Below are 19,558 nucleotides of genomic sequence, written 5' to 3'. Positions count from 1 at the left end.
TTTTGGTTCCAATTACATTTCCTCTACGGTTTATTTTACATATTAACTCCAAGAATTAAATATTTTCATATTACAATAGTAAGAAAGTGCTGATGTTACTTTAATAAGTCATTAAATTATTATAAACAACTTTTTTTTTTGTTTTTGAGACAGGGTCTCACTCTGCACCCAGATGCTGGAGTGCAGTGGCACAATCATGGCTCACTGCAGCTTTGACCTCCTGGGCTCAAGTGATCCTCCCACCTCGGCCTCCTGAGTAGCTGGGACTACAGGCATGCACCACTTCTGGCTAATTTTTAAAATTTTTTGTAGAGACTGGGTCCCACTATGTTACCTAGGCTGGAAGAATTTTTTCCTATTTATTTAGTTAGTTTTTGAGACGGAGTTTCGCCCTTGTTGCCCAGTCTGGGGTGCAATGGTGCAATCTCGGCTCACCGCAACCCCACCTCCCAGGTACAAGTGATTCTCCTGCCTCAGCCTCCCGAGTATCTGGAATTACAGGCATGCGCCACCACGCCCGGCTACTTTTGTACTTTTAGTAGGGACGGGGTTTCGCCATGTTGGTCAAGCTGGTCTCAAACTCCTGACCTCAGGTGATCTGCCCGTCTCGGCCTTCCAAAGTGCTGGGATTACAAGTGTGAGCCACCGCACCGGGCCAGAATTTTTTTTTTAGTGTACCACTGTGCTGATTGGGAATTAACAATGACAGGCAAAATTTACAAGCTTTTATTAATTAATGTGCCAGGTGCAATTCTAAGTGTCATATGTGTGATAATTTATTTAATTCTTTTTTTGCTTGTTTTTTGTTTTTCTTTTTTTGAGATACAGTCTTGCTGTGTTGCCCAGACTGGAGTGCAGTGATGCAGTCTCGGCTCACTGCAACCTCCACCTCCTGGGTTCAAGTGATTCTCCTGCCTCAGCCTCCCAAATAGCTGGGATTACAGGCGTGGGCCATTGTGCCCGGCCAATTCATTTAATTCTCAAAAAAAAAAAATCTTAAGTATTTGTTACATTTTTTAAATGATAAAAGTGAGGCTGAGTTTAAGTAACTTATCTGTTAAGATGATCACACAGCTACTAGTAATAAAGTACGATTCAAAGGCAGGCTATCTGGCCCCTTTGTGTAGACTTGGTCATAATGCTGTGACTTTGTATTAGCCGGGAGTCCTGAATTATCAAAAGATTTACAATAAATGACACTATCTTGTTGAACAATGAAGACTTTTTTTTCCTAAATTTTCGACAACCCTCGAAATCATGGCAGCATACTGAGGTGAGCGTTTTCATTGGGACATGAACCTGTCATTCCTGCCACTATCAGGAAAAAGAAATGTTACCCAATTTTAATCTTTGAACAGTATCAATGCCAAAAAATTGTGAAAAAGATAATCAGAAAATAGATGACAAGTGGCTACTGAGCTTACCATTTAAAGTTTCTGTCAGACCTTCAAATTTTCTCTATGGAGCCCTTCTCCACGAACTCAGGGTAGTCAGTGCTTGTAATTTACAGCAGTCATTAAAATGATGACATTACATGTAATTCACTTATTTCCAAAGAGTAACTGAGGACCTAAAAAATGTAGGTGATATTAGGCATATCCATGACATACAGCACTATGCAATATGCAAAGGCTTACACAGAACTCTCATCAATCCGTGAACATGCTTTTGTCTTAGATCAAGCTTGTCCAACCTGCAGCCCTTGGGGGTTGCATGCGGCCCAGGACGGCTTTGAATGCAGCCCAACACATATTTGTAAATTTTCTTAAAACGTTATGAGATTTTTTTGGCGTTTTGGTTTTTTCGTTTGTTTTAGCTCATCAGCTATTGTTACTGTTAGCGTATTTTATGTGTGGCCCAAGCCAATTCTTCCAATGTGGCCCCGGGAAGCCAAAAGATTGGCCACCCCTGCATTAGATGGTTAACGTCTGATTTTCATTGAATAAACCTGTGCCTTTACCATACCACAGAAGTAAAACGGGGCTCAATGTGTTTTTTAAAAATCACATTATCTGTATTTCCAGACATAAGGTAAGTATTTCACCAACTTTCATCCAAACTAACATCCTCAATTGTAATCCCACTAAGAACCGCCAGGGCGAGACGAAAGCGGAATCGCTTCCATCTTTACGTGGAGTCCGGGAAATGGTTCAGCACCATGACATCCGCCGAAGACGTAGGTGTAGACGAGGAACAAAAGAGAAGACCCCTCGTGGAGGTGGCCTGTGGGGCCCGCCCTCACCGGGCGCCATCTGTCCCTGATTCTGCTCCCCGCAGGGGCCGCAGCGGGTGCGCCCCGCGATAGAGCGGGCTGTGGAGGGAGCCTCCATGGAGTCTCCATCAACCATTCCGGACCAGGAGACGGTGGCAGGCAGTAAAAAGGCCTAGGCAGGGCCAGCGCCCCGGGCTGCTAGCACAGGACGGCGGCGCCCAGGGACGCCCCAGGGCAGGCCTCAGCCCCTCCAACCCGCGAGAGCCCAGCTCCAAGGGAGCCTGCAGCTCCCTCCATCTTGGTTGATGGAGGCGGGGAGCTGCGTCTGGGTGTCTCCACCGTCGCGCCCGACCAGTACTGCCCCGCGGACGCAGACGCCGGCAGCTGGGGCTGTTCCCTTGTCCGAATGGCAGAGCCCAGTCGGGGCTTCCGGGACAAGTCCTGGCCCCACGGGGTTTGGTTTTGAGGGGTCCCAAGTTCCCACAGTTGTCCCGACAAAATGGAGGACGTCGTCTCCTCCTGCTGCAGCCATGGCGGGAGGTGGGGGACTATTCCCCACGGGGCGCGGCGAGGGTGGAAGGGCCTCCACTGACCGCAGCGCACTCAAGACTCCAGTTCAACCGCGGCCCCGAAAGCTCACTTGGCCCCGCTCCAGCACCTCCCCGGCCTCGCCCCTCTTGGGGGCCTTCAAGGAACTGGACAGGGAGGGCGCTGGGGCATCCAGGCCGCCGCTCTCCTCGAGCAGAGGCGTTGGGAGCCGCTGCCGCAGCTTGGGCCCCCGGGCTCGGGCGAGGGCAGGCAGCCCCGCCGGAGTCTCCCGGGCTGTGTAGGTCCCGGAGAGCCCCGGGCCCCGAGGGGCCGAAGCGGGCCGCTACGACGGGCGGCGAATCTCGGGCTCCTGACCCTGGCGGACCCGGTAGCTGGGGGCGGGAGACCGGCGGGGAGACAACCCGACCGGGAGTTGAGGGCTGGCAGGCGGGAGTGGAACTGCAGGGCCGCGGGTGTGGCCCGCACCTGACGGACAGCTCTTCGGCCACCCCACCGAGGGGGCGCCCTGAAGGACGGCCGTCGGAGCCAATGGGCGTGCCCAAGGCGCCCAGGCTCGTCTCCCTCGCCAGCCAACGAGCGCACGGAGGGTGGGGCCTCCTCGGGCTCTGCTGCGCCGTCCCCTGCTTCTCCGCCTCCTCACCAGCGCGAAAAGCCGGGACTGGACCTCGCGGAGTTGTGCTTGTCGCCGAAGCGGGGTGGGCTTGTTCGTTCCGCGCAGCCGCAGCCAGAACCGGGTGACGCTTATCCCCGCTGTCTTTCCAGTCCAGGGCCGCTGAGAGTGGGGGTGGCTGGGAGCAGCGCAGCCTCCGGAGGAGGAGGCGGAGGCCGAGGTGAGTGGGGAGGCGGAGATGGGTGAGAGCAGCCTCCGGAGGCTCCCACCGACCCGGGATTAATACCCCGCGGCGCGGCCGCCGTCGCCGTTGCCGCTTCGGGGCCTCGAGGGCAGCTCGGGGCTGCCCTCCTGTCACCGGCGCTTTTGCGTCCGGCCTGAGGGGCTGGGAGAGTGCGAGCGAGGCCGGGAGGGTTGGGTGAGGCGGTCGCCAGCGGCGGAGGTCGCGGGGCCGGCGGGGAGGCGGGGTGGCGGGGCGGGTTGCCGGCCGCCCGGGGAGGTCGCGGGGCATTTTTCTTTCTCTCCTGCCGCATAGTGGCGGGGGGCGGGTTGGGCGAGGGAGGGGCGCCCCGGCCGGGTCTTCGCTGTCAGGACCGCGCTGCCACCCTGCCGCCGGAGCCGAGGTCCCCAGGTTTTTCGGGCGAGGGCTTCTGCCTCTGCCCCGCTGGGTCCCCTCCTTCGCTCATCTTTTCCCAGGCGCTGCGCGGCTTTTACTCTTTGCTGCTGATCTGGGCGAGTTTAATGGCGGATCTGGGGCCCTGTCGTCGACTGCTGGGGCCCCAGGGCAACTTCTTGAGGCAACTGTGGGCCCAGAGGTGATGCGCGCCGCCCGTTACCTCTGAAATGGTGCTTGGAGTGACAGAGATGACGCTGGGTGGGCAAATTTAGGAGGGAATACAAATCCCTTGCTGGCGTCGAGACGACGTTTACCCTTCCCTCTCCCGTCCTGGGAGCAGGCCTCGGATCCCCGAGCCCACTGCATCCCCAGTACTGCAGTTGGACGAAGCACTTTTAGCTTTGTCTCGTCGTTGCGGTTCCTATAGTTCTTTTTTTTCAACTTAGTTTCTCGGTAACATTAGGGTGGGGGAGGGTAGCAGAGCCCAGGAACTCCTTGGCCTCTTACCCCTTTGCCACCTCACGGTGTTGAGTTGGTTGTGCATCCAGATTGGTTGTACCGAAATTGGTTTTCAATTCTCATTCTAGGACCAGGAATCACCTTCAAGCCTATGTCGTGAGGCTTTGGCAGAAATTAAGAAGGAAATATCTCCATTGTGAGTTGTTTTTTTTTTTTTACCCCGCTTTGCTGTCTAATATAATTAGTGCAGTAGTAGGGTGTTCTTCCTGAGGGATTTGCCTTTGTGTTATCTTGAAGGCCTTGGCCTTCAAGCTAATTGCTTGGGTGCCCCTGTCCCCAGAGCCAAGCCATGGTAGTCCCTGGGAAGGCACGGGGAGTGCTGACATTTATACCACTGGAACTCTCTCAAGTTCCAGAACAAGATTTAAAGTTAGCTCTCTTTTAAGTGCCTTGAATTTAACAATTTTTTCTTTTCCAGTAGATTGGAAAAACTTTTTTACTGTTGGATTAAAAAGAAACACTACTGAATAATCTGTTGTTTTGACGTTGATATTTGCCTTGTATTTGAGGAAGACTGTTATTTATGTACCCTGACAGTCCTCCAGCTAGCATCACACGAGGAGATAACATAAACTAGTTGTCAAACTATTCCTAATTCTAAGATTGACCACCGAATCTGAGTGGCCTGATCTCTCTCTGTTAGGAAGTTAATGTTTGTTTTTGTTTTTTCGGGTTTTTTTTTTTTGCTACTAGACAGTGATCTATGTGTTCATTTTGGTACAGTACAAATGCCCTTTCTCTGTCAGCTATTCACTTAATGCTTTTAACACCAATCCTTGTGTGAATAATTTCATTAGGAGTGACAAAATGATTTTTTTTTCTTTAACAAGCTTTACTTCTATTTTTATTATCTGGGATTCAGTTCTTGCCAATTTTGTCCTTTCAACCCTGATCAAACAGTTTTCCATTGCTCATCAAAAACAAACTTGTGATTAGCTTATCTCCCATAGTAGTATTCCTGCCTTCCTTTTACCCTAGTTGCTTTCTACTAACTTATTTGCTCTTATTTTCTTACATTTCACAGCATATCTCTTTAATTAGTTAAACTTAGGACTGTGGCAGGATGTGGTAGGTAGGTAAAGTGGCTGGGCACAGTGGCTCATGCCTGTCATCCAACCACTTTGGGAGGCTGAGGTGGGTGGATAGCTTGAGAGCTTGAGCCCAGGAGTTCCAGTGTGGACAACATGGCAAAACTCTTTCTCTACAAAAAATACAAAAATTAGCTGAGCATGGTGGCACATGCCTGTAGTCCCAGCTACTCAGAAAGCTGAGGTGGGAGGATCGCTTGAGTTCAGGAGGTTGAAGCTGCAGTGAGCAGTGATCACACCACTATACTCCAGCCTGGGCAACAAAGAGAGAGTCTGTCTCAAAAAAAATGGGTAAAGTGGCTCTGGGCACTGTGACTCACTCCTGTAATCCCAGCACTCTGAGAGGCCAAGCTGGGAGGATTGTTTGAGCCCAGGGGGTTGAGTCTGCAGTGAACTGTGTTTGTGCCATAGCATTCCAGGCTGGGCGACAGAGCCATACCCTGTCTTAAGAAAAAAAAAAAAGCCTGGTCCATAAGGTTTGAGACACACACACACACACACACACACACACGTGCGCATATACATGCATATAGTTAGTGGGAGATACAATTCCCCCCCCCCCACCTGAGATATAATCCTTATCCTCTTTATTTTTTCCTTTATTTCTTGAGATTTTTCTCAGCTTTATCTTTCAATTCTTATTGCTGAATTTTTCCTTTTTGCCACTAAGCTTTTAATTTCCAGCAGTTCTTTTTATATTAGAAGTGTTGGCTGGGCATGGTGGCTCACACCTGTAATCCCAGCACTTTGGGAGGCCGAGGTGGGTGGATCACCTGAGGTCAGAAGTTCGAGACTAGCCTGGTCAACATGGTGAAACCCCGTCTCTACTAAAAATACAAAAATGGGCTGGGCATGGTGACTCACACCTGGAATCTCAGTACTTTGGGAGGCCAAGGCAGGCAGATCACCTGAGGTCGAGAGTTCAAGACCAGCCTGACCAACATGGAGAAACCCTGTCACTACAAAAAAAAAAATACACACACACACACACACACACATACACACACACACACACAAAATTAGCCGGGCCTGGTGGCACATGCCTGTAATACCAGCTACTTGAGAGGCAGAGGTTATGGTGAGCCGAGATTGTGCCATTGCACTCCAGTCTGGGCAACAAGAGCAAAACTCTGTCTCAAAAAAAAAAAAAAAAATTAAACGGGTGTGCTGGTGGGTGCCTGTCATTCCAACTACTCAGGAGGCTGAGCCAGGAGAATCACTTGAACCCAGGAGGCGGAGGTTGCAGTGAGCCAAGATCACACCACTGCACTCCAGCCTGGGCGACAGAGTGAGACTCCATCTATAATTCTTTTTTTTTCCTCTTTTTTTTTTTTTTTTTTTTTTTGAGACAGTCTTGCCCTGTCACCCAGGCTGGAGTGCAATGGCGTGATCTAGGCTCACTGCAACCTCTGCCTCCTGGGCTCAAGCGATTCTTGTGCCTCAGCCTCCTGAGTAGCTGAGACTATAGGTACATGCCACCACGTTGGCTAATTGTTGTATTTTTAGTAGAGACAAGGGACTGACCATGTTGGCCAGGCTGGTCTCGAACTCCTGACCTAAGTGATCCGCCCGCCTTGGCCTCCCAAAGTGCTGGGATGATAGGCACCCACTACCACACCCGGCCTGTGTAATTAGTTTTTTAAAAATTTTTATTTAAAATTTTTGTGGGTACATAGTAGGTGTTACATATATTGCATAATTCTTGACTGTTTTATTTATGATTAAGAATTGGGAACTAAAGGCCGGGCACAGTAGCTCACACCTGTAATCCCAGCACTTTGGGAGGCCAAGGTGGGCAGATCATGAGGTCAGGAGATTGAGACCATCCTGGCTAACACGGTGAAACCCCATCTTTACAAAAAATACAAAAAAAAAAATCAGCTGGGCATGGTGGCAGGTGCCTGTAGTCCCAGCTACTCAGGAGGCTGAGGCAGGAGGATGGCGTGAACCTGGGAGGTGGAGCTTGCAGTGAGCCAAGATCGCGCCACTGCACTCCAGCCTGGGTGACAGAGCGAGACTCCGTCTCAAAAACAAACAAACAAACAAACAAACAAAAAACGGGAACTAAAAAGCAAATTGGAAGAGTGAGAGTGGGGTTTCCAACTTGAAGCTTGCGGGTGATCTTCTGGCCAATTGATGGGGAACCCCATAGGTTAATATTTTTAGGACTTTCCTTTTTTGCTGATTCTTAGTTCCGCAGGGAAGAGTCTTGCTCAGAAAGAAAGCCTCCAGAAAAGAGTTTGCTGCCTGGAAAATAGAAGTCTGGATGCCAGCTCTCTGGGAATCAAGTAGGAGAGGGGACATTTTTTTTTTTGAGATGGAGTTTTGCTCTTGTTGCCCAGGCTGGAATGCAGTGGCGTGATCTCGGCTCACTGCAACCTCTGCCTCCTGGGTTCAAGCAATGGAGAGGAGATATTTCATGGTATTGAAACATTCCCCAGTGCTTGGTGAACCCAAGACTTAGATCTTATGTTCTATCTTATCAAAGAAAAAATTTTTAGAATCTGTGCTAGGATGGGGAAAGGCCTGTCACCATCAACTTGATGGGAGGGAAGATATCTCTCAACCTCTTTTCTTAGCATCTGCCCATTCTGTTCCAGGGATATGTGGTGCTACAGATTTCTGAGCCTACAGTGGAAATCAGAATGTTTCTTGGCTTTTTATTCACTGTTTTAGACTCTGGCTATCTCAGGTTGGCAGTTAACCATTCATCCATCTGTTCTTTGGCTTATAAAATCATATTGCTTTTGTTTCTTATTCTTCCTTTCCTTGTGGTAGTCCTGTTTAGGGGAGTTTTGGAAGGGAACGAAGTTAGTTGTATGTGATCAATCGGCCATCTTTTTTTTTTTTTTTTTTTTTTTGAAACAGCGTCTCTCAGTCTGTCACCCAGGCTGGAGTGCAGTGGCCCATCTCGGCTCACTGCAGCCTCTATCTCCCAGGCTCAAACAAGCTGCCTGCCTCAGTTTCCCAAGTAGCTGGGACCACAACCATGTGCCACTATGCCTGGCTAATTTTTGTATTTTTTGTAGAGACAAGGTTTCGCCATGTTGCCTAGGCTGGTCTTGAACTCCTGGACTCAAGCGATCCACCTGCCTAGGCCTCCCAAAGCGCTGGGATTACAGGGGCATTATACTGCACCTGGCCCACTTTACTGTCTTAATCCCTGCTGGGCTAGTGATTTCTAGGCAGAGTTGTTTTTTCTGTTTGTTTTTTGTCTTTGTGGTTTTTTTGTTTTTTTTTTTTAATTTTTAGAGACAGGTCTAACTCTGTTGCCCAGACTTTAGTGCTGTGGTGTGGTCATAGCTCACTGCAGCCCTGAACTCCTGGGCTCAAGTGATTCTCCTGCCTCAGTCTCCCAAGTAGCTGGGGATTACAGGCGTGCACCACCATGCCCAGCTAATTATTTTATTTTATTATATTTATTTTTTATTTTTGAGACAGGGTCTTGCTCTGTTGCCCAGGCTGGAGTGCAGTGGTGTGATCATGGCTCACTGCAACTTTGACCCCCTGGGCTCAAGCCATCCTTCCACCTCAGCCTCCCAAGTAGCAGCGACTACAGGCGTATGCCACCATGTTGGACTTTTTAAATTTTTGTAGAGAGGGGTCTCTCTGCATTGCCCAGGCTGGTCTTGAACTCCTGGGCTCAAGCTATCCTCCCATCTTATTCAGCCTCCCAAAGTGCTCAGATTATAGGCATGAGCCACTGTACCTGGCCTTTATTTTTTTGTAGAGATGAGTTCTCAGTTTGTTGCCCAAGTTGGTCTTGAACTCCTGGCCTCAAGTGATCCTCCTGCCTTGGCCTCCCTAAGTGTTAGGATTATAGGTGTGAGGCACCAGGCCCAATTTAGATAGTAATTTTGTACCTAGTTCCTGCAGTAATTCTCTTGCTATTTGTGGTAGTAGTTCAGTTGACTCTTCTTTTTTCTGATCTCATTACTTTTGTGAGTACCTTCAGAGTCATGGTACACCTTTATATCTGATTTTAAATAGGTGTGCTTATATACTCAACTGTGAAGTGTCTCTGAAAGTAGTCTACAAGAAGAGCTAAATAGGTCAAAGTACATTTATTCATTTCTTTGTTTTATGTTAACCCTTATCTTTACACCTAAATATCCCGTTAAATTTACGTTGTTTCCCATTCTCTAGAGATAGTTTACATGTAAGCATTTTGCTAGTGTTATAATTTGTGTATGAATAAGATACCACAAGAAGACTAGTTAAATGTTTAAAATTAGACAGTTGCTGAAATCCCAGCATGTAGCAATGTAGCATAGTATTTGCCTAAATACCTTTTTATGGTAAGGGATTTTTTGTTTTTGTTTTTGTTTTTGTTTTCGTTTTGAGACGGAGTCTCGCTCTGTCGCCCAGGCTGGAGTGCAGTGGCGGGATCTCGGCTCACTGCAAGCTCCGCCTCCCGGGTTCACGCCATTCTCCTGCCTCAGCCTCCCGAGTAGCTGGGACTACAGGCGCCCACCACCACACCCGGCTAATTTTTTGTATTTTTAGTAGAGGCGGGGTTTCACTGTGTTAGCCAGGCTGGTCTCGATCTCCTGACCTCATGATCTGCCCGCCTCTGCCTCCCAAAGTGCTGGGATTACAGGCGTGAGCCACTGCGCCCGGCCTTTTTGTTTGTTTTCGAGACAGAGTCTCATTTTGTTACCCAGGTTGGAGTGCAGTGGCATGGTCTCAACTCACTGCAACTTCTACCTCCCGGGTTCAAGCGATTCTCTTGCCTCAGTCTCCTGAGTGGCTGGGACTCCAGGTGCATGCCACCACGCGTGAATCAATTTTTTTTTTTTTTCTTCTGAGACAGAGTTTCGCCCTTGTTGCCCAGGCTGGAGTTTAATGGCATGATCTCAGGTCACCTCAACCTCTGCCTCCCGGGTTCAGGCGATTCTCCTGTCTCAGCCTCCTGAGTAGCTGGGATTACGGGCATGCATCACCACGCTTGGCTAATTTTGTATTTTTAGTAGAGGTGGGGTTTCTCCATGTTGGTCAGGCTGGTCTCGAACTCCCAACCTCAGGTGATCCACCTGCCTCAGCCTCCCAAAGTGCTGGGATTACAGACATGAGCCATCTGGCCGGTCATAATTTGATGTTTTTTGCACTCTCTGATATGGACCAGGCCATATGCCAGGGATTTGCATGTCCACTCACCTCATTAAAAAGCTTAAAGCTATATGTTATCCCTGTTCACAGTTTAGGAAACTAAAACTCAGGTGACATAATTTGCCCACTGCCACATAGCTAATTGGCTATACAGCATCTTTTTCTCTGTTTTTAGACAATATTTTAGAAATATTCAAAATTTTCTTATGGTCTTGTGTTTTTAGAATTAAAGTTTTTCATGGTTAAGTTATAAACACAATGGCTTTTAGTAGTTTTGTTGTTGTTGTTGTTTGTTTGTTTTTTGTTTTTTTTTTGTTTTTGAGATGGAATCTCGCTCTGTCTCCCAGGCTGGAGTGTGCAGTGGCGCCATCTCTGCTCATTGCAAGCTCCGCCTCCTGGGTTCACACCATTCTCCTGCCTCAGCCTCCCGAGTAGCTGGGATTACAGGTTCCTGCCACCATGCCCGGCTAATTTTTTTTTGTATTTTTTTAGTAGAGATGGGTTTTCACCGTGTTAGCCAGGATGGTCTCAATCTCCTGACCTCATGATCCACCCACCTTGGCCCCCCAAAGTGCTGGGATTACAGGCATGAGCCACTGCACCTGGCCTTTAGTAGTGTTTTAACTTATTTATAATCTGGGATTTAAGCATCAGTGAATACTTAATCTTTTTTTAAAGGTAGATGACTGCAGTGAACTGAGTATAAAGAGTATGCTGTGTATTATTTTCTGTGAGAAAAGTAAAATAGAACCTAGCAGACATAAGAAGATACTGTGGGCCGGGCGCGGTGGCTCATGCCTGTAATCCCAGCACTTTGAGAGGCCCAGGCGGGTGGATCACAAAGTCAGGAGATTGAGACCATCCTGGCTAACACGGTGAAACCCCGTCTCTACTAAAAATACAAAAAATTAGCCAGGTGTGGTGACAGGCACCTGTAGTCCCAGCTACTTGGGAGGCTGAGGAAGGAGAATGGCGTGAACCTGGCAGGCGGAGCTTGCAGTAAGCCTAGATTGTGCCACTGCACTCCAGCCTGGGCGACAGAGCGAGACTCCATCTTAAAAAAAAAAAAGAAGATACTGTGGAGTCAGTTATAACTCTTTTCCAGAAATTATTTTCCTTTTTTATCATTATTTTTAAACATTTTTAGTAGAGATGGAATCTCACCATGTTGCCCAGGCTGGTCTCAAACTCCTGGGCTCAAGCAATTCTCCCACTTGGCCCCCAAAAGTGCTGGGATTAGCAGGCATGAGCCAACATTCCTGGCCCCCAATCTTTTTCATTTCTTTACAAACCTTATTTTAAACTGGTTCCTTAAATTTGTTATTTATCTTTGAAACAGCCTTATGTAAATGTTAATTTTGTTATTGTAATGAATTGGCTCATCTTAATAAAAGATAAGTAATTTTTAACAATTGTTTTCCACATGCATTGCATATAATATACTGGCTAAGAAATAGGTTTTAGAGTCAGATTTCTTGGATTTGAATCCTGACTACCTTTTTCAGCAATGGTGAGTTAGGCAGGTTACTTATCTCCTGGCTCTTAATTTCCTAATTGGCAAAATGGGAAAAGTAATAGTTCCTTCCTCACTTAAGTAATCATTAACTGAGTTAATATATATAATAGCATAATACATATTAAGAATAAATGTTACCTATTTCATGACTATATGGATTATAGATTACATTGAGGTTTTTTTTTTTTTTTTTTGAGACGAAGTCTTATTGTGTTGCCCAGGCTAGAGTGCAGTGGCACAATCTCAGCTCACTGTAACCTCCTCTGCCTCCCGGGTTCAAGCGATTCTCTTGCCTCAGACTCCTGAGTAGCTGGGATTACAGGCGCCTGCCACCACGACTGACTAATTTTTGTATTTTTAGTAGAGATGGGGTTTCACCACGTTGACCAGGCTGATCTCAAACTCCTGACCTCAAGTGATCTGCCCACCTCAGCCTCTCAAAGTACTGGGATTACAGGTGTGAGCCACCACGCCCAGCAGGGAAATTTTTAGAGTAAAAATGTTAGCATATTTTGGCCGGGCGCAGTGGCTTACACCTCTTATCCCAGCACTTTGGGAGGCCGAGGTGGGTGGATCACGAGGTCAAGAGATCAAGACCATGCTGGCCAACTTGGTGAAACCCCGTATCTACTAAAAATACAAAAATTAGCTGGGCATGGTGGCGCACGCCTGTACTCCCAGCTACTTGGGAGGCTGAGGCAGAAGAATCACTGGAACCCAGGAGGCGGAGGTTGCAGTGAGCCGAGGTTGCACCACTGCACTCTGGCCTGGCGATAGAGTGAGACTCTGTCTCCAATAAAAAAGCATGTTTCAATATGAGATGTTTAAAATAAAATGGAGTGATGACTGCCTTATGAAGTGTGTTTTCTTAATCATTCAACACCTGTAAAATTCCCACCCCTTTCACTCTCAAGTTTCTACTCAGAAAATTGAGGCCAGAGGCCAGGCCTGGTAGCTCACACCTATAATCCCAACACTTTGGGAGGCTGAGGCAGGCGGATCATCTGAGCTCAGAAGTTCGAGACCACCCTGGGCAACATGGCGAAACCCTGTCGCTAGCAAAAATACAAAAAATAGTAGCCAGGCATGCTACTCAGGAAGTTAAAGCCGGGGGATCACTTGAGCCTGGGAGGTGGGGGTTGCAGTGAGCTGAAATGGCGCCACTGTACCTGAGTGACAGAGTGAGACAGGACAAAAAAAAAAAAGAAAGAAAAAAAAAACTGAGGCCACGCCTGTTGTGGTGGCTCATTCCTGTAATCCCAGCACTTTGAAAGGTCCAGGTGGGAGAATCACTTGAGCTCAGGGGTTCGAGACCAGCCTGGGCAACATAGTGAGACCTCACATCTACTAAAAGAAAAAAAAAATTGAAAATTGAGGCCAGCATGTATAATCCCATGTATTGTTTCTGCATACCTACATAACATTCCAATTATACTTACTTTTGCCTTCTTTCAGTTGAGATAGAGGTGATCCTTATACGTGATCAATTTCATTACCACCTGTGCACATGTCCTTATCTCTCATCTGCTTAAGAGCCCCCCATGTTTCATCAGTTATTCACTTCCAGATTTTTCAACTATTGTCTCTGCTAGATTATTTCTGTCATCATAGCTTAGTGCATAGTAAGTATACAAAAGGTTGAGTGTTAACAAGTTAAGAATTTGGGGCTAGGCCAAGTACCATGGCTCATGCCTGTAATCCCAGCATTTTGGGGAGCCAAGGCAGGAGGATTGCTTGAGGCCAGGAGTTTGAGATGAGCCTGGGCAATGTAGTGAGACCTCCTCTCTCCAAGAACTTTATGGAACATTAGCTGGGCTGTGATGGCAAGAGCCTGTAGTCCTACCTACTTGGGAGGCTGAGGTGGGAGGATTGCTTGAACCCAGGCATTTAAGGCTGCAGTGAGCCAGGATGGCACAACTGCACTCCAGCCTGGACAACAGAGCCAGACCCTCTCTCAAAAGAAAACGAATTTTTAGAGCCCTGAGTTTAAGTCTTACTCCCAGTGTTATGTGGAACAATTTAGTTAGCTTCCCTAGGCCTCAGTTTCTTGAACTATAAGAGTAAATTATAGCTACTATCATGGAGTTTTGATAATTTTATTTTCTGTAAAAAGCCCATTGCATAATATCTGGCATAAATGGACTTAATGCTTTCTGTACAAGGACAAAAAAGATGCATAAAGATAATTACATAATTATTTTGGAAGAAGTGATTTTGGAAAGAAAACAATGGCAGGAGACACTTGGGAAATAGGGCCATATCATAAATGCTGTAGTAGGTAAAAGCATATGGAATATAAGTGATTATATTAGGACCCTAAGTTATTGGTATTTAATTTAATTATTTTGTTACTATTTTCTAATTCAAAGGAAGGCAGGCATTTTTTCACTATAAAGAGTGAATAAAGTGAGTACTATAAATTGATTAGAATTTTTTAAAGGACTACCAAAATTATATAATTAATTTCCATCAAGCTCTGAAGTAAACATTAGTTAACAGTAGAGGAAAAACAAAATGGATATCAGGTATCACAAAAAATAATTTGAAAAATTTGCTTGTGCTATTTTATTGTAGTAAAATGCAAAAACCATAACATACTAGAACTTTTTTTTTTCTTTTCTGTCTCTACAGGTTCATTGGCATGGAAAAATGTTCAGTGGGAGGATTAGAGTTGACTGAACAGACTCCTGCTTTATTAGGGAATATGGCCATGGCAACTAGTCTCATGGACATAGGGGATTCATTTGGTCATCCAGCTTGTCCTTTAGTCAGTAGATCTAGGAACTCACCAGTGGAAGATGATGATGATGATGATGATGTTGTGTTTATTGAATCTATACAACCTCCTTCAATTTCTGCTCCAGCAATAGCTGATCAAAGAAACTTCATATTTGCATCATCAAAAAATGAAAAGCCTCAAGGAAATTATTCTGTAATTCCTCCTTCTTCAAGAGATTTGGCATCTCAGAAAGGAAATATAAGTGAGACAATTGTTATTGATGATGAAGAGGACATAGAAACAAATGGAGGAGCAGAGAAAAAGTCTTCCTGTTTTATCGAATGGGGACTTCCTGGAACTAAAAACAAAACCAACGATTTGGATTTCTCCACTTCCAGTCTTTCAAGAAGTAAGGTAAATGCAGGAATGGGTAATAGTGGTATCACTACAGAATTGACTCTGAAATACATTATTACTAATGTTACAACCTTAGAAACAGGTATAAGCTCTGTGAATGCTGGGCAAGATGTGAACATAATTATTACATATAAAACATCACTATAGAATACCAACTTGGGAGATGTCGCTAAAGGACTTCAGTCAAGTAATTTTGGTGTTAATATACAAACGTACACCCCATCTTTAACTCCACAGACCAAGACTGGAGTAAGACCTTTTAACCCTGGTAGAATGAATGTGGCAGGAGACTTATTTCAGAATGGAGAATTTGCAACTCATCATAGTCCTGGTAAGCAGTAAGTGATACTGTTTCTACCTCAAGTAAATAAGCCTTTGGCTGTTCTTTTTAGTAAAGCTCATATCTATTTTATTCACATTCTGTGGCTTTGCTTTTTTTGTTTGCTTGTTTGTTTGTTTGTTTTTGGAGACCGAGTTTCGCTCTTCTCACCCAGGCTGGCTGGAGTACAATGGCGCAATCTCAGCTCATTGCAACCTCCGCCTCCCAGGTTCAAGCGATTTTTTTTTTCCTGCCTGAGCCTCCTGAGTAGATGGGATTACAGGCGCCTGCCACCACACTCGGCTAGTTTTTGTGTTTTTAGTAGAGATAGGGTTTCACCATGTTGACCAAGCTGATCTCGAACTCCTAACCTCAAGTGATCCACCTGTCTTGGCTTCCCAAAGTGTTGGAATTACAGGCGTGAGCCACCACTCCCGGCCTTTGACTTTCATATTAAGATAGAATATTTTACTTAATAAAACTGTACGGTCTACTTGGTCTCTGAAATTTTGGGATTTTAATCTATTTTATCCAGTAAGATTTACATCTAAAATATTTTAATTGAAATACTTTACCTTCTTTACTTTCTTTATATAAAAATCAAAGGATAAAGATACAGTGTAATGAAAGAACAAAGTAATATATAATGATTGGATTTTATTTTATTTATAATTATTTAAAATTTCAATTTTTGCTTAAGCTTTTAATTTTAGGCTGTTTTTATCCCTGATTTTAGTTTTTATTTATTTATTTATTTATTTATTTGAGACAGAGTTTTGCTCTTTTTGCCCAGGCTGGAGTGCAATGGCGTCATCTCGGCTCACTGCAGCCCCTCCCTCCCGGGTTCAACTGATTCTCCTGCCTCAGCCTCCCAGGTAGCTGGGATTACAAGCACGCCCGTCTCCATGCCTGGCTAATTTTGTCTTTTTAGTAGAGACAGGGTTTCTCCATGTTGGCCAGGCTGGTCTCAAACTCCTAACCTCAGGTGATCTGCCCACCTCAGCCTCCCCAAGTGCTGGGATTACAGGTGTGAGCCACTGCGACTGGCCTGATTTTAGTTTTTAAATCGGCGTTTTATTAGTCGCTTAATTCTGAAAGTTGGAAAACTTTCTTGCCTTTAAATCAAGGAACTGTATTTTTAGAACTTATATAGATAGTCCTATTCTGATATAATTAAAACATAACAAGTGATTTTTTAAATAGCAATGCCTTTTTGTTGCTTTTATGTGACTTGTGAGGGGTTTGGGGGAGAGTTGGTATTGTTTTTTTGACCATTTTAGTGTTTATAGCCTGTTGAATTTTAGGAAAGTACTGAAAAGTAACGAGAACCTGAGAACCTAATCATGTTGTTGCCTTCAGGAAAATAGTGCTTTTTCCCTTTTTTTTTTTTGAGACAGAGTCTCTGTCACCCAGGCTGGAATGCAGTGGCACGATCTCGGCTCACTGCAACCTCTGCCTCCTGGGTTCAAGTGATCCCCGGGCCTCAGCCTTCCGAGTAGCTGGGATTGCAGGCGTGTGCCATCACGCCTAGCTAATTTTTTGTATTCTTAGTAGAGATGGGGTTTCACTATGTTGGCCAGGCTGGTCTCAAACTCCTGACCTCAAGTGATTCACCCGCCTCAGCCTCCCAAAGTGCTGGGATTACAGGCCTGAGCCACCGCGCCCGGCCAACTTTTTTCCTTATTTTTAAAATTAATTTTATCTTCTGGTTACGAAATACTATGTGATTATTATAGAATATTTAGAAAAAAATCATAGAAATCAGAAAATATGTCTCCTTACCCCAGTAACTAGAAATAATGTGACCACTGTGAAGAATTTGGTTTGTTTGCTTTCAATCTTTGGTTTTTAAAAATATAATTTAGAGCACTTTTTATATTGTTTTGTATCCTGCTGATTTACTTAATCTAAATGCTAATATTTTATGTCATCATAAAAATATAGGCTGGGTGCAGTGGCACACCCCTGTAATGTCATCGCTTTGTGAGGCCAAGGAAGAAGGATCACTTGAGGCCAGGAGTTTGAACCCAGCCTCAGTAACGTAGCGAAGACCTCATCTCTATAAAAAGTAAAAAAAAATTAGCCAGGCGCCATGATGTGCACCTGTAAACTCAGCACTTAAGGAAGCTGCGATGGGTCAGTTGAGACCTGGAGTTTGGGGTCACATTGCGCTTTAATCCTACCGCTGCACTCCAGCCTAGGCAACAGAGTGGGACTCTGTCTCTAAAAATATGTATATATAAGTTTTAGTAACCACAAAATATTTGTCTGAAGTACTCATTCCCCTATGTATTTTTTTCATCATTTACATGCTTTTTCATTGTTTTGAAGCTACAATAAATACGTATGTTTACATTTTTTATTTTTTCCATAGGGTACTTATTCTCAATTTTTTTGGTCTCAGATTCACTCTTAAAATGAAGACCCCAAAGGTTTCTTTTATTTCTATTATTAGATATATTAAAAATTAAAGCTTTAGCCAGGTATAGTGGCGTGCACCTGTAGTCCCAGCTATTCAAGAGGCTGAGGTGGGGCTGGGCATGGTGGCTTACACCTGTAATCCCAGCACTTTGGGAGGCCAAGGCAGGTGGATCACTTGAAGTCAGGATTTTGAGACCACCCTGGCCAACGTGGTGAAACCCCATCTCTACTAAAAAAATTAAAAAGTAGCCAGGCATGGTGGCATGTACCTGTAGCCCCAGTTACTCAGGAGGCTGAGGCAGGAAAATCACTTGAACCTGGGAGGCAGAGGTTGCAGTGAGCCCAGATCACTCCACTGCACTCCAGCCTGGGCGACAAAGTGAGACTTGTCTCAAAAAAAAACAAAGAGGCTGAGGTGGGAGGGTCACCTGAGCCCAGGAGTTTGAGTCCAGTCTGGGCAACATAGCAAGACCTAATGTCTTTAAAAAATAATAATAATGGATGGACGTAGTAGCTCACATCTGTAATTGCAGCACTTTTCGTAGGCTGAGGCAGGAGGATCACTTGAGCCGAGGAGTTTGAGGCTACAGTGAGCCATGATCACAACACTACACTCCATCCTGGGTAATAGAGTGAGACCCGGTCTCAAAAAATAATAATTACCTGGGTGTGGTGGCTCTCACCTGTAATCCTAGCATTTTCAGAGGCCAAGGCTGTCGGATCACCTGAGGTCAGGAGTTCAAGACCAGCCTGGCCAACATGGTGAAACCCCGTCTCTTACAAAAATACAAAAAACAACAAAAAAAAATTAGCTGGGTATGGTGGCATGCTCCTGCAGTCACAGCTACTTGGGAGGCTGAGGCATGAGAATTGCTTGATCTCAGGATGCTGAGGTTGCAGTGAGCTGAGATCATGCCACTGCACTCCAGCCTGGGCGACAGAAATTTTTTTGTTTCAAAAAATAAGATAAAATCTTAAGAAAAATTAAAACTAGTCCGGGCGCAGTGGCTCACGCCTGTAATCCCAGCACTTTGGGAGGCCGAGGTGGGCGGATCACGAGGTCAGGAGATCGAGACCATTCTGGCTAACACAGTGAAACCCGTCTCTACTAAAAATACAAAAAAAAAAAAAAAAAAAAAAAATTAGCCGGGCATGGTGGCAGGTGCCTGTAGTCCCAGCTACTCGGGAGGCTGAGGCAGGAGAATGACCTGAACCCGGGAGGTTGCAGTGAGCCAAGATCACGCCACTGCACTCCAGCATGGGCGACAGAGTGAGACTCCATCTCACAGAAAAAAAAAAAAAAGAAAAATTAAAACTATTCATTTCACAATAATTACCCATTATATAACATAAATAACATTTGTAATGAAAAATAACTATTTTCAAAGAAATTTAGTGAAAAGTAACATTGTCTTACATTTTTGCAAATCTCTTTAAAATCTGGCTTAATAGAAGACAGGTAT

At 45.5% G+C, this 19,558-nt stretch overlaps 2 protein-coding genes across 17 annotated transcripts in view, besides 8 other annotated features; one reads left to right on the top strand and one right to left on the bottom strand.

The window, feature by feature from the left end:
- ZMYM2 (zinc finger MYM-type containing 2) overlaps nucleotides 1-3,201 on the bottom strand; it is a 225,276-nt gene extending 222,075 nt beyond the window's left edge. For both annotated transcript variants that reach the window (XM_047430584.1, XM_047430585.1), the window contains exon 1: nucleotides 1,425-3,201. The gene's annotated coding sequence lies outside the window, so the exon portion shown is untranslated. The remainder of the gene's footprint in view (nucleotides 1-1,424) is intronic.
- Nucleotides 1,996-2,115: an enhancer, noted in NCBI's record as "active region_7413". NCBI's record gives its function as "activates an Ori minimal core promoter by ATAC-STARR-seq in GM12878 lymphoblastoid cells {active_cell/tissue: GM12878}" and the evidence as "EXISTENCE:reporter gene assay evidence [ECO:0000049][PMID:35858748]".
- Nucleotides 2,496-2,555: an enhancer, noted in NCBI's record as "active region_7412". NCBI's record gives its function as "activates an Ori minimal core promoter by ATAC-STARR-seq in GM12878 lymphoblastoid cells {active_cell/tissue: GM12878}" and the evidence as "EXISTENCE:reporter gene assay evidence [ECO:0000049][PMID:35858748]".
- Nucleotides 2,558-3,286: an enhancer, noted in NCBI's record as "NANOG-H3K27ac-H3K4me1 hESC enhancer chr13:20437895-20438623 (GRCh37/hg19 assembly coordinates)". NCBI's record gives its function as "activates a minimal SCP1, AML or CMV promoter by ChIP-STARR-seq in naive H9 embryonic stem cells {active_cell/tissue: H9 hESC(naive)}" and the evidence as "EXISTENCE:reporter gene assay evidence [ECO:0000049][PMID:30033119]".
- Nucleotides 2,558-3,445: a biological region, named in NCBI's record as "NANOG-H3K27ac-H3K4me1 hESC enhancer GRCh37_chr13:20437895-20438623".
- Nucleotides 2,566-2,785: an enhancer, noted in NCBI's record as "active region_7411". NCBI's record gives its function as "activates an Ori minimal core promoter by ATAC-STARR-seq in GM12878 lymphoblastoid cells {active_cell/tissue: GM12878}" and the evidence as "EXISTENCE:reporter gene assay evidence [ECO:0000049][PMID:35858748]".
- Nucleotides 2,956-3,445: a silencer, noted in NCBI's record as "silent region_5141". NCBI's record gives its function as "represses an Ori minimal core promoter by ATAC-STARR-seq in GM12878 lymphoblastoid cells {active_cell/tissue: GM12878}" and the evidence as "EXISTENCE:reporter gene assay evidence [ECO:0000049][PMID:35858748]".
- ZMYM5 (zinc finger MYM-type containing 5) overlaps nucleotides 3,392-19,558 on the top strand; it is a 40,168-nt gene continuing 24,001 nt past the window's right edge. For 3 of the 15 annotated variants that reach the window (NM_001142684.2, NM_001039649.3, NM_001039650.3), the window contains exons 1-4: nucleotides 3,392-3,591; nucleotides 4,575-4,642; nucleotides 14,851-15,352; nucleotides 15,593-15,686. In NM_001142684.2, the coding sequence (NP_001136156.1) occupies nucleotides 14,861-15,352; nucleotides 15,593-15,686 (586 nt within the window). In that variant the 5' untranslated portion in view covers nucleotides 3,392-3,591; nucleotides 4,575-4,642; nucleotides 14,851-14,860. Of the gene's footprint in view, nucleotides 3,592-3,671; nucleotides 4,218-4,574; nucleotides 4,643-14,850; nucleotides 15,353-15,592; nucleotides 15,687-19,558 lie in introns of those variants that run through there. The other 12 variants (XM_006719894.4, XM_047430772.1, XM_047430770.1 and 9 more) reach the window with 8 other exon arrangements.
- Nucleotides 3,806-3,985: a silencer, noted in NCBI's record as "silent region_5140". NCBI's record gives its function as "represses an Ori minimal core promoter by ATAC-STARR-seq in GM12878 lymphoblastoid cells {active_cell/tissue: GM12878}" and the evidence as "EXISTENCE:reporter gene assay evidence [ECO:0000049][PMID:35858748]".
- Nucleotides 4,206-4,455: an enhancer, noted in NCBI's record as "active region_7410". NCBI's record gives its function as "activates an Ori minimal core promoter by ATAC-STARR-seq in GM12878 lymphoblastoid cells {active_cell/tissue: GM12878}" and the evidence as "EXISTENCE:reporter gene assay evidence [ECO:0000049][PMID:35858748]".

Source organism: Homo sapiens, chromosome 13 (assembly GCF_000001405.40).
Source record: "Homo sapiens chromosome 13, GRCh38.p14 Primary Assembly".
In the NCBI taxonomy this organism is placed as follows: domain Eukaryota; kingdom Metazoa; phylum Chordata; class Mammalia; order Primates; family Hominidae; genus Homo; species Homo sapiens.
This window is presented reverse-complemented; position numbering and strand designations above follow the sequence as displayed.